Here is a 12,328-nt window from a genome sequence, read left to right as displayed (position 1 = left end):
CCCAGGTTGCCGTGCTGAGCACAGGGGGCTCCAGGCACATCCTCCTTTGAGGAGCCTTGGCTGCTGGCACAGACCTTCTGGTTGAAGGAATTGTCCAGGCACTCCCATTCTACAAATTGGGTAGGATCTCTGGAAGAGACACCCAAAACAGACATTTCACAGGGGGACATGGCTCTTGGAGTGGTGCCATCTCAGAGGCATTGGCAGGCCAGTATGGTCTGGGAGGGCAGCAAGGTGGGCACATCGGGTGGGGCAGGCACTTCCCGGTTATCCCTCAGCCTGTGGCTGTCGGGGCCTGTTGTAACATCTGAGTGCCAACAGCCAGGGCTGAGTGCTCGGGCTAGGGCCAAAGAGGAAAGATAGGGATCAGCTTGTGGTTTAGAAAGACAAACACATTATCCCTTCCCTGCATCTTTCTGCTCCATGACTTGAAAAGTTTTCTGGGGATGAGGAAGGCGACTAACAAGCTCTTTTACTCCGTTCAGACTCCTTCCTCTGGGCGACTCAGCCCTCCCCTAATAATAGAAATAGTAATGGCTGCCAATGATGGCATGCTTCCCGTGGGCCAGGCCCCGTACAAAGCTATGTACCTGTGCTACCTCCCTTAGTCTTCACAAGAACCCTGGGATGGAAGTCCTGTACAATTATTATTCGCATTTTACAAATGAGGAAACTGAGGCTCGGAGTGGTTAAAGAACAGATGAAGGTCTCATAATTACTGCTATAGACTGAATGTTTGTGTCCCCCCAAGATTCATCTGTTGAAACCTATGTCCCCCAAGATTCATCTGTTGAAACCTAATCACTAATATGAGGGTATTAGGAGGCGGGGTTGTTGGCAGGTGATTAAGTCACGAAAGCAGAGCCCTCATGAATGGGATTCATGCCTTTATGAAAGAGGCCCCCAGAGAGATCCCTGGCCCTTTCCATCATGTGAGGTTATAGCAAAAAGACAGCCAGCTCTGAACCTGGAAGCAGGCCCTCACCAGACACCGGATCTGCCAGCACCTTGCTCTTGGGCTTCTCAGCTTCCAGAACTGTGAGAAATAAATTTCTGTTGTTTATAAGCCACCAGTCCATAGTATTTTGTTATCCAGTCCAGAAAGACTAAGTAAGCCAGTTACTGAGGGGAGGAGCTGGAATTTGAACGGAAGTGTATCCGACCCCAAAGCTGGTTCTCTCAACTCTGCTGCTTAGAGGCTGCTGGTGCCATGGAATGTTTGAACGGGCAGTGGGGAGAGACCAACTCAGACCTTAATATAAGGCATTTGTGTTTTAAAAAAATCACTGCCCAGGCAGGCTGTCACGTGAGACACAAGAGGGCTGGGGTGCGGGTAGGAGGACCGTCCCTTCCTATTTCTGTGTAACACGCGAGGACCCCCACATGGCACTGGGTGTGAGGGGCAGAGGGGCCCTCAGGTTCCCCCACTCTGTCACTGAGTTCCCTGCTAGGAATCAGGTGCTAGGCTTTCCTGGCCACAAGCCAGCACCCTGCCTGAAGTTCCTGCATCCCACATCTGCCCTTCACAGACCCAGATGGCCCAGTCGCCTCAGGCCCTCAAGCAGGACCTGCCGGGGAGGTGGGGGCACGTGTGCTGGATGCTTGGCAGGAGGAGCCCTGTGGAGCTGGGGCTCCTAGAGGGGTCGCTGCCCACTCACCCTGGAGCCCGAAGCCTGGGAGAGAGGCACTCTTGGGAGAAAATCCCTTCCTCCCCCTCTCCTCCAGGCTGTCCAGCACCTGCTTCTTCCTGCTCCTCACCCTGATGGGACCACCCATCTCTCTCTGCTGATGGGACCAAGAGGGAGGTGCAAACCTCTGAACCTCCGAGCATCTGGAAGTGTGAGCCGAGGGAGCTGACACTGCCAGGCCCTTGGGGTCCCCAGGCAGGAGGGAAGTTGACGGAGTCTAGCTGCAGAGCCATGGAGTCCTGCGGACGGGAGCCCTCTTGCCTCGCAAGACTTACAGCATGTCTCTGGCCTCAGTTTCCTGATGCATGTAATGGAAAGAGTACCTCCCGCCCTGGGGAAGGTGGTGGAATAATGAAGTCTAGAGCATTGGGGTACAGGGCTATGGAGGAGCAGCACCCCCAAACGGGGTGAAAGGTTCTTAACCCTCAGCCCTCACAGCTGCAGAAGGGACCAAGGAGAAAGCTCCCCTCCCCGACCCTGGGCATGCACACTGGAGCTTGGTTTGATGTGCCATGGAGTAGAATCCCAGGATTCGTCCAGAAAACAAGGCTACCACTTGCTACTAAATCAACCCAACAGGTCTGTTCACCCCGGGTTCCGGAAAGAGAGCCCAGCGCCAGGGGGTAGCACTGTCTAGGGCCTGGTTAGGTGTTTTGGAAAAGTCCATGGGTCCCCGCCCGGCTGCTGTACAGATGTGCCCTGCTGATACCCTGGGCCTCAGCAGAACCTCGAGCCTCTCTCTCTCTGCCTGCCTTTCCCTCAGGTTCTGCATCTGTACTAGGCTTCCTGTGCCAACGAGAATATATAAAACCATCCTCCCCAAACACAAGCTGACACTGGGGGCTAAACCTGCCTGACAGTCCCAAGGAGCCTGGTGACCTGGGAGGAGCTCCTCAGATGCAGGGACCATTGCAGGCTGCGGCGCCCGTCCCAGGTGCATCCTGGGCTACCCTGGGAAGGGCTGGGGAACAGCAAGAGCCAGATCTGTGGTAAGGACACTCATTTTAGAGACGTGATGGATTCATTTAATATCTTTTCGCTACAATTGCTTTGCAGTGCCTGCTCTTAATGGCCTCCAAAGTTCCATCCAAATATCTTTTGCTGGCAGTTTAGCTCTCTGGCTGGCATTTTTGCTGGCAGAACTAACAGCTGGATGCCTCCTTGAATGGGAAACTTTCATTGTCTTGTCTTCTCTCTTCTGAGTTTCCAGTGACTGCCCCAGGTCTGAGGCTGGAGCAGGGCTCTGACTGTGACACCCCTGCGTGGAGCCCAGTGGCTGACTTTCAGGAAGGACAGGTGAGTGTGGGGGAGTGGAGGCCTGTGCCTGACTAGGTGAGGGCCCAGGCCCAAGCTCCAAGGAAGAAAAGGGGATGTGAGGAAGCAGGGTATTTGTTGCCTGAGGCCCACCTCCAACACTTTGGGCAGAACACCTTAGCTCCAGATGCACAAAACTCACAGGCTCTGGGCTGTGCAGCCCCCTGGGAACACTAACTAGCTGGCCTCAGAGTCTGTGGACCTCTGCATGTGCCCTGGGTCAGAAGGCATGACCTGTCTAACTGCCACATGGCGTGTCTGTGCCATGCTGCCATCCTTCTCAGGGTCCTCTCTTCCCTAGCATTCTGGCACACACCGGACAGAACCCCTTGACTGCTGCAGGGGTGGTTGGCCTGCTGGGACATGTATTTGAACGCTGACATAGCAGGGTTCTGGTAACACCACTGCCACACCCTCGTCAGTGGCTGGTACAACAGCCTCTGCTAGGATGATGGACCTCATCATCCATGAGGCAGCCCCTCCTCCTGTCCTGACCACCCTCTCCTCGACAGGAGCCCTGAATGCCTGCTCACTGGCGGCCTTGCATTCTTCCCCCGGGGCTGGCTCCATCCCTCCCCAGGAGCTGAGACCTCTACTTCTCCCCACCTTTCTGGATCCCAGACACATCATCAGCAAGATCCACTCTAGTGGAATAGAAAAAGTCTTCTTGTCTAGCTTGGGCCTGGTGACCGGTGGCAAGTGACAGGCCTCCTGCTTCTGGGAACTGACCTCTGATGGTGGCTATTGGACATGTAAATGTCTGCCTGGGGTCAAAAGTCTACACTAATGAGAAGATCACCTGAAGAACAGGGCCTCCCAGGTGCCTCCCCTACCCTTTGCCCCAGAATCTCCGTTTCATCTCTGGCACTCATCATGACTCCCTTCTTTGGCCTAAGACATGAAGTTACCTGGGACAAAAAGAACTTCAATCAATCAATTTATAAATTAGTTAGATCTCTTCAACAGAGAGTGGCCTGGTCCCCAAGAGTGGCCTGGGTGCTGTGTGCAAAGTTTATCCTCGGGAAGCACTTGACTGACAAGCGTGGGCTGGGCTGTGGTTTCAGGTCTAGCAGAATGCAGGGGGATGGCAGGAGGCACCCAAATAGCACAATAGGAGCAAAGCGGGGACCTGCCCAGCCTCCCAATGTGTCAGGCCAGGCCGCCTCTCCCAAGCCATCAAGTTACCCAGTGGCTGCTGCCTGCTCCTGCATGGGCCCCTTGGTAGCACGGGGGTGGGGGTTCAGCCTGGGTAGCAAGAGTGCTGGGCAGGCAGCTGGGGATCCCTGGGCTGGAAACTGACTCTGCCATTAGTTAGCTGTGTGGCCTCAGGACCCACTTTCCTTCTCTGGACCTCTGTTTCCCGCTCTAAAATTATGGGGGCTGGACGAAACATCCTCCGGGGACTCCCTTTGGCTTGAATGTGCTACAGCAATCTGAGATGGCCAGCTCTTTCCTGGGGCAGCCTTTTCCTCCTCAGAGCTCCTCTTTGCTGATCTGAGACTGTGCTCTGGTGGTGCAGGAGGCTGTGGCATAACTGGTCCCCTCGCTCCCTCCACCCTCTGTGCTTTCTTGCACAATTCCATAAGCTGAAAGAAAGAAAATGGAGGCTAGAGCCTCTCCAGGCCAGGAAGCTGAGCCACAGAACCAGTCCTCCCGGTTTTAAAGTTTTAACTCTGCTGCTGCTGCTGCAGCCTTTAGGAGTCCTGGTCACCAGGCAGGCAGGCAGGCAGCAGGAGGTCTTGGGCAAGGTGACTGGTTTGTTGCTATCTGCACTGAGTTGAGTAGGCTGGTCCCCGCTGCACTGGGATCAGAGATCAAAATACAGCACCAGCTGAACTGAGCTTTCTGAACCTGCTTCCCTGGACACCCAGAGGATCCCTCACCAGGTCCTTGACAGCCTGAAGGACACAGCTCTGCTTCCAGCCCCTTAGCAAGAGGCCCAAAGAGCTGAGTGCATGGAGGCTGTGGGCAGACCAGAGCACAAGAGATTGTTGCCTAGGCAGAGAGACACTGGGATTGGCTGACCGAGGCAGCACTTTTGGGGAATAGGTTGCCACGGAGAATCCACAGGTGTCAAAAAAAGTCATCACTGGCCCTATGTGAATACTTGGGTCTCTGCCCTGCCTGATGTGTCGTGATGAGGTTTTGTAGGAAATGCTGGCCAGCAGAGGTGTCCCTTTGCTGGGGCTGAGGCAGTTGCGGCCTCTCATGTAGTTATGAGGGAACCTGTTTTTTCACATGTGAGTTCCCCCAGCCCAAGAAAGCCTGTCATGCTCTGGGGTTGCCTTGTTTTTCTTAGGTGAATAAGCTTTAGGATTACCTTTCCTAAATTCATAGAACAGATAATCCTTTGTAGAAAAAGCAGGCTGGGTGTGGTGGCTCACATCTGTAATCCCAGCACTTTGGGAGGCTGAGGTCGGCGGATCACCTGAGGTCAGGAGTTCGAGACTAGCCTGGCCAACATAGTGAAACCCCATCTCTACTAAAAATACAAAAATCAGCCGGGCATGGTGGTGGGTGCTTGTAATCCCACCTACTTGGGAGGCTGAGGCAGGAGAATCGCTTGAACCAGGGAGGCGGAGGTTGCAGAGAGCCAAGATCGTGCCACTGCACTCCAGCCTGGGCAACAAGAGCGAAACTCTGTCTCAAAAAAAAAAATAAAAAGAAAAAAAGAGAAAACAAAAGTCTCTGAGATGGAACCTCACGATTACTGGCCTTTTTTTTTTTTTTTTGAGACAGAGTCTTGCTCTGTGGCCAGGCTGGAGTGCAGTGGCACGATCCCAGCTCACTACAACCTCCGCCTCCTGGGTTCAAGCGATTCCCCTGCCTCAGCCTCCCGGGTAGCTGGGACTACAGGCACGCGCCACCACGTCCAGCTAATTTTTTGTATTTTTTAGTAGAGACGGGGTTCACCATGTTGGCCAGGATGGTCTGGATCTCTTGATCTTGTGATCTGCCTACCTCAGCCTCCCAAAGTGCTGGGATTACAGGCGTGAGCCACTGCACCTTGCCCACGATTACTAGGCATTTCTAAGCTACTTGCCAGAGTGATCCAGGAGCCTGCCGTGGCCTTGTCTGGCCCCTCTGCCTGCCACATCACCAAGTGTATGCTTTAGATGGGGCTCAGCAGAACACAGTTCCTCATGCAGTTAGGACCAGCATGTGAAAAAAGCTTCCAGTCCCCAAAAGGAGTAGGGCCAGGGCCACAGCCCGGCTCTCGATCCCTTCACTAGGGGCAGCCCACTTCAAGTCCTCAAGACCTCCAAGTCTAGACCCCAGAAAGAGGAGTCTCAAGTTATTCCTTAGAAAGCCTCAGTGGACAAACAATATGCTATTTGGGAAAAAAATAGACCTGGCATTATTGTTTCTTCCCAGCTTTCCTGGGCATTCTGAGAGCTTTTGTTTCTCCTCAGAGGAGGGTTCTTTCAAAGTCACCTCCTCCGTGAAGCCTTTCCTGATTCCCCCGAACAAGGTATGGTCTCTCCTGGCACTTTGTTCCTCTGACACCAGTTATCATCACGGTGATAATAGTTATCTCTTGCTGAACATGTACGTATGTGCCAGTCATGCCATTCAGAGCATTCACTTATTATCTTATTTAATCCTCTCAACAACCCTAACTCATAGGTACTATAATTATCTCTGTTGGACAGGAGAGGAAATTGAGACCCAGAGACATGAAGTAACTTGCCCGAGTCACCAGGAAGAGGCAGCACCGGGCCTGAGGCTCATGCTGCTGACTTCATGTTAACCAACCACCATCCTGCCTCTTCCCGCCCTGGTCTATCTCCCCGAGCCTTCACCTCCTCCTGCAACTGCAGATAGAAGCTGCTTCTTCCTTTGTTTGTCATTCTCAACTTATCTTTTTTGTCCATCTTTATAAAGTTCTATGTTAAGAACCGTTGCCCAGTATTGGTGTAAATTTATAAATTATCTGGGCTGGATGGGTCATGGCTGCCAACTTCAGCGATGAGTTGGACCCAGAGTTGGCAAAAGGACGAAGCCACCTGGGGGCTGATGGTGGCTTTGTGGCTCCGCTTGTTTCTGGCGCGGTTGGCCCCACGCTCAGCTCAGCTTTCCTTTCCACTGCTCTGCTGCAGGGCTATGAGCATCCCCAGGGCAAGAGCTCTGTCCTGCTTTGTCCACCCCCTCTTCCTGCCACCAGTGCTTGCACCTAGTAGTCAGGCCATGGCTGTCATCTGCTTGGCAGCCTGTGCGCCAGAACAAGGTGCTGCCTGGACCCCACACCCTCCCAGGAAGAGACACGGTCCCCTTTATCTCACATCTCACTCTTCTCGCTTTAGCCCTTCCTGGCCCCTAGGGCTGAGCTCTGGTGGGGTGGAGGGCACCTCCTCAGAAGGGGACAACTTCCCAGGCCCAGGCAGACTGCTCGCCCTGGGCAGGAGGGCCAGCCTTGGCTTCAGCAAGTTCAGAACTCATTCTGCCCTCAGAAGCTTCCATTTGCAATGCTCCTCCCCAACCTGCTGGCTAGTCCACCTCTTTCTACCAAGGAGGCTCCCAGAAATAAGCTCTCTCCTTGAGGCCCGGTAGGTGCAGGCGGCCAGATGCCTCCTGATGAGCTTTACTGGTGTCCTTCCTGCTGCTCAGGTCTCAGGCACTGCTTCCGCAGCCTGGGCCTTCCTGCTCAGGGCGACGAGCGCATCTTACGGGAAGGACTTTCTGCTTCAGTCCACAGGACAGCCTCCCATGAGTCCTTCCTGCCTTCTGCACCCAGGACACTGTGTGCGGTGGGCATCTCTGGGCCATTTGGGTGAGGAATTCAATCTTTCAGTGTCTTAGCCTCTTCCCTGCCCAGTCACCTACGCAGAGGGCCTCTCCCACAGAAGCGGGCTGGCATAAGAAGGCCAGCTGTCTGGAGTCCTCCCTGAGCCCTCAGGACCCCAGGCAGCCTTTTCCTTTCCTGCTCAGCCTGCCCTGGCCCCTACTCTCTGCTCCCTCCTGGCCCAACCTGCTGCCCGCTGCTGGCCTGCTGTCTACCTAGTGCTCGACAGCCTCCGCCCCTCTGACCCCAACTGGGCAGCAGCCCCTGCTCAGCTCTGCATGCATGGAAGACTCCTAGGCACAGAGTCACCTTTTGTGAGGCAGCATGAGATACCCCCACAGCTGGGTCATTCTCCTCATCCAGGAGCCAGGTGTGGGAATTCACTGGCATGAGAGACACTTATGGGTTCCTCCTGACTCTGAGCACATGTGCTCCTCCAGGGCAGGGGACTTTTTGGTCATCCTTAGGAGTTGTGCACAGAGCGGGCTTTCCTTGGCTGGAGACCCCACCCACTGCACCCTCCCTGTGTCTGGCAAGTCCGGGAGGGCCCAGAGCACTCACAAAGCATCAGTTTGTCCTCGGGGCACTGGAGAGGCCGTGCAGTCCCCACACTCCCCCTCTCAGGTGCACAGAGCTTCCATCCAAATCAGCTGCTCCCAGAAGGGCTTGCCTCTGGTGCCGACCCTTCCCTGACCAGGCGCTCTGTCACTAGGGCTCCCAGGTGCCACCTCCAAGCCTGGGCCAGGACAACCGCCAGGGAAGCCTGCCTGCAGAGGGGACTCCTTGCTTGCCCCAAAGGCCTCAACCCCAGCTAGATGAGCTCCCGTGGGGCTGAGTCCCAGGCCCACCAGGCCTGGGGGCCACACGGCTCCTAAGCTCATCCTCTCCTCCTGCAGCCCAGTTCCCACCAGAACCAGCCTCAGGAAGACCCCAGGCAGAACGGCACAAACCTCTTGGTGTACAATGCCAGGGAAAGGATAACTGGAGACCACAAGACGTTAGCCTTGCTTCCCGGTGGGGCCCAGTGCTTTATAAACCCGAGCTCACTGGGCCCGATGTCCCCAAAGCTGACCAGGTCATCCACCCTGCAGCAGGGGTGGGGAGACCAAGGCCTGTGAGGAGTGACCGTGCTTGGCCAGGCAGCTCCCTGAACCTGCCCTGATGCTGAGTTTCAGAGTCAGAATCTGTGCCAGGTCAAACCCAGCCAAAGGGTGTGACTTGGAGCCTGGGACCCAGCAGTGCTCCCTAAATATTTGTGGAATGAATACACAAGGGAAATGTCCCAGAGGTGGTAAAGTGAGAGGGGCCTTGGATAGGGGTGTCCCGGTGGCACTGGCTTGGCCCAGCTGGGGCAGGAAGAGTAGAAACAAGCACCTCTCCCTCTAGCTAGGGAGCCAGAGACCAGCTGGGATTGGACTGTTTCACAATCAATCTGGAAAGAAGGTGGCAGGCCGGGTGGGGAGTGGAGCCCCTTGACCCAGGAACCCACAGCTGTGGAGTTAGCCTCCCTGTCCCAGGTGGGAGGCAGCCTGGACACCTTGGCACCCCCGTCCCTAGCCCAGGAATCCGGAGCACGCAGCGGCAGTGGGGACCTTACCGTGGCTGCTCCTTCTGGGCAGCGGGGTCCTGCGTTCTCCACTGCAGGCTGGTGCTTGTCTCTAGCCCAGGAAGCGGCACTCCCTTCAGGCAAAATAGAAAAAAAAAAAAAAAAAAAAAGGAAAAGAAAACCTCAGTGCTTTTCTCACCCAGCCTCTTCTCTTGAAGGCTCCTGGTTGGTATTGTCCTGCCACTGTGGGCACACAGCCTCCCTCCCTCTGGCAGCTTACTCACTGGTGCCCGCAAAGCTGCCAGCTGTGTGGGGGAGAAGGGACCTCCCCCCTCCTCCTGACACACACTGGGGCATGCCCTGTGGGGACCAGGGGCTTGAGGGTGGCACCCGCTGGGTCCTGATCATGGGGAAGCCGTACCCTGGCCAGCACCCTTCTCACTGAATGTGTCCCTGTGAGCTCAGCAGAGACGCACATGGGTGCTGACTGGCCCTGCATAAGAGAGTGACATGGTTCTTGGTAGGAAGCTGTTTCCTTGGTACCCAGGCCTGCCAGAATGAAGGGGCAGCTGATGGGCTGTCCAGCCCCCCAGTGATGGGCTCTCACCCTGGCCAGCCCCTCCGGACGGCTTCCTACCTGGGCATCTTGCTGTGTCTCTGTCCTGTGCACCCAGACAGGGCCTGGGCCTGCCGGGGCTGGCAGCTGCTCCTCACCCTGCTCAGGCCGTGTGTCTGGCGTCCCCTCTCCCTGACGCCCATCTCAGGGCCTGCGCCCACCCAGCATCAGTTAGGATAAACTCCTGTCAAGCCCCCAGCCAGCTCTCTGCTGGACCCAGCTGCTGTCCCCAGCAGGGGGACGGCACACACACTGGCTTACACACTCTCGCACTCACACACACGTGGGTCCACACCCAACACAGAGCCACCTACCTGCCCAGGCCAGCCTAAGCCAATCCAGCCTCGCTCTCCAAATGCCACTCCGACCCCAGAAGCCACTCCTTTACCGAAACATCCCCGTGGGAGATGAGTTCAGAGCCAGCCCGGGAGGACTCCAGTCAGCTCGGACAAGACTGCCCTTCTGTCCCAACACCTCCAGAGGACACACACAGGCAGCCTGACCACCATATCTGCTATTGCACTCTGCCTGCTGCCACAGCCCCCCGGGCACTTCTGGCCCCCACAGCGTCTTCCATATCTTTAGGGGGTGGCAGCAGACTCACAGCAAGTCCCATCTTCCTGGAGCCCAAGGTAGGGAGGGGAGAGCTAGAAGGGGCGGGACTCAGGTGCAGCTCCAAGTTTCCAGCTCCCAAAATAATCAGATGCAAAGGAGAAGCAAGAACAGCTCGAGGCGGGCGGTGACTCAGTGCTAGTGGGCCGGCTTAGTCACCTGGATGGCTGCTGGCGGCTCCTGGCACATCAGGACGGGAGCAGCGCCCTCCCCCACCTGCCTGGACCGTGGCTGTCTCCAGAGTGTGGCCGCCGAGCCCCGCGCCCAGGGCTGCCTGGCAGGCGAGGCCGCTCCACCCCGCTCCCGCCCATCAGGGCCCAGCGGCCCCGGCTGCGGCGCGCCCCTCCTCCACCGCGCGCCCCGGCTCACTTTGGGATTTCTCCATTAAATCCTCAGGCATCGACCTGCTCGTTTGGGGCGCCGAGCTGCTCCAACGTTGCTTGGCAATTTTGATATCGTCGGGGGTTGCCATGGGGAGGAAGGTGATGTCATTGACACAAAAAACCCACTGAATTTACAAATCAGCTGGGGCTGGAGCTATTTATAAAAACACGTTTTTATCTGCCTTTCTTTGCTGAAGGGGAGGAGGAGGAAGGGCTGCCTGCCGGGCTCAGGGTGAGCCTCCCTGCTGTCCTTCCTACCCTTGCCCTAGAGAAGCCAGACCTCCTTGGCTCACCCCCACCCCCACCCCCCAGAACTTGGAGCTGCGCATTCAGATCTGGCAGGTGCTGGTCTCAGCTGGTTTTGCTTCGAAGGCTGAGAGTGGCACATGGGATGTAAGGCAGGGTGGGTGCTGGCTTCCTGGGCTGGCAGGGACCAGAAACCAGTTACTCAACCGGGTCCCTTTATTTCATTGCCCCTGGTCAGAAACAGAGGCATTTGCTGGTGAGGCAGCTTGAGCTCCTTGATGTGCCCCCCTGCCAGCTCCCCGGAGCGCCAGGTGGAGCCCAGCCTTCCACAGTGCCCTCCCCATCCCTAGCCTCAGTGTCTCCTCCACTGGCTTCTTTTCTTCTCCTAGTGTCCAATCGTGGGCTGCCCAAGCTCCAGGCTTGGTCCCCTGCTCATCTCTCCCCACACTCAGCCACCACTCCATCAAAACACCTTTTTTCTGTGGCTTTGACCATCACCTGGGCAAATGCTTGCCCGAAAACCCATTTTGTGCCTGCCCCACTTCAGGCGCCACCTCTGATGGCCCAGCTCCCACTGCCAGGACCCACTAGCTATTGACAGCCAGAGGGAAGCCTGGGAGTTCTTGCCTCTTCCCGTCCCCCAGTCCCTTATATCCAAGGTGGCACTTGGCTCTACATTTTATTTTTGAAAACTTTCTAACTTTCTTCTGTAGCGAAGCCATGTGGTGTTTGGTTAAAAGTCCAGGCTGTGAGTCTTCAGTCTTCCGCATCTCAGCTCCACTGTTCATCAGTTGAGTGACCTTTGGCATGTTATTGAACCAATTGAACTTCAATTTCCTCATCCATAAAATGGGGATGATTTCACCTGCCTCACAGGGCTGTGGAAATTAAAGGAATAAAGTTTCTGGCACAGAGACTGCTCATCTTGATCCCAATAAACATTAGTTTTTATCCACCCCTCCACTGATGGCAGATTAATCTTCCCAAATCATGACCCTAGGCACCTTCTGTGCAAAGGTCTCAAGCTGCATGCGTAGACATTTTGATTGAACGCAGTGTTAGATGTCATGGCATTAAACATAAGAATTTCAATTTGTGGCCAGGCACAGTGGCTCACGCCTGTAATCCCAGCACTTTGAG

General features: G+C 55.7%; 2 protein-coding genes and 1 long non-coding RNA gene across 7 annotated transcripts in view, besides 3 other annotated features; 1 reads left to right on the top strand and 2 right to left on the bottom strand.

The window, feature by feature from the left end:
- PAK6 (p21 (RAC1) activated kinase 6) overlaps positions 1 to 11,001 on the bottom strand; it is a 38,425-nt gene extending 27,424 nt beyond the window's left edge. For 3 of the 4 annotated variants that reach the window (NM_001395430.1, NM_001395431.1, NM_001276718.2), the window contains exons 1-2: positions 10,262 to 11,001; positions 9,383 to 9,465 (exon numbers count right to left, since the gene is read on the bottom strand). The gene's annotated coding sequence lies outside the window, so the exon portion shown is untranslated. Of the gene's footprint in view, positions 1 to 9,382; positions 9,466 to 9,968; positions 10,202 to 10,261 lie in introns of those variants that run through there. The other variant, NM_020168.6, reaches the window with a different exon arrangement.
- BUB1B-PAK6 (BUB1B-PAK6 readthrough) overlaps positions 1 to 12,328 on the bottom strand; it is a 60,060-nt gene that overhangs the window by 27,424 nt on the left and 20,308 nt on the right. The window contains exon 2 of one of the 2 annotated variants that reach the window (NM_001128628.3): positions 9,383 to 9,465. The exons of the other annotated variant lie outside the window; for it this stretch is intronic. The gene's annotated coding sequence lies outside the window, so the exon portion shown is untranslated. The remainder of the gene's footprint in view (positions 1 to 9,382; positions 9,466 to 12,328) is intronic. 2 annotated transcript variants of the gene reach the window in all.
- Positions 262 to 556: a silencer, noted in NCBI's record as "tiled region #12967; HepG2 Repressive non-DNase unmatched - State 20:ReprD, and K562 Repressive DNase matched - State 8:EnhW". NCBI's record gives its function as "represses a minimal TATA promoter and a strong SV40 promoter by Sharpr-MPRA in HepG2 and K562 cells {active_cell/tissue: HepG2 | K562}" and the evidence as "EXISTENCE:reporter gene assay evidence [ECO:0000049][PMID:27701403]".
- Positions 4,415 to 4,916: an enhancer, noted in NCBI's record as "H3K27ac hESC enhancer chr15:40537349-40537850 (GRCh37/hg19 assembly coordinates)". NCBI's record gives its function as "activates a minimal SCP1, AML or CMV promoter by ChIP-STARR-seq in primed H9 embryonic stem cells {active_cell/tissue: H9 hESC(primed)}" and the evidence as "EXISTENCE:reporter gene assay evidence [ECO:0000049][PMID:30033119]".
- Positions 7,241 to 7,740: an enhancer, noted in NCBI's record as "H3K4me1 hESC enhancer chr15:40534525-40535024 (GRCh37/hg19 assembly coordinates)". NCBI's record gives its function as "activates a minimal SCP1, AML or CMV promoter by ChIP-STARR-seq in primed H9 embryonic stem cells {active_cell/tissue: H9 hESC(primed)}" and the evidence as "EXISTENCE:reporter gene assay evidence [ECO:0000049][PMID:30033119]".
- The window catches only part of LOC107984763 (uncharacterized), a 67,810-nt gene continuing 65,844 nt past the window's right edge, over positions 10,363 to 12,328 (top strand). The window contains exon 1 of the long non-coding RNA XR_001751506.2: positions 10,363 to 10,579. This is a non-coding gene — a long non-coding RNA (uncharacterized LOC107984763). The remainder of the gene's footprint in view (positions 10,580 to 12,328) is intronic.

This window comes from Homo sapiens, chromosome 15 (assembly GCF_000001405.40).
Source record: "Homo sapiens chromosome 15, GRCh38.p14 Primary Assembly".
NCBI classification, from domain to species: domain Eukaryota; kingdom Metazoa; phylum Chordata; class Mammalia; order Primates; family Hominidae; genus Homo; species Homo sapiens.
This window is presented reverse-complemented; position numbering and strand designations above follow the sequence as displayed.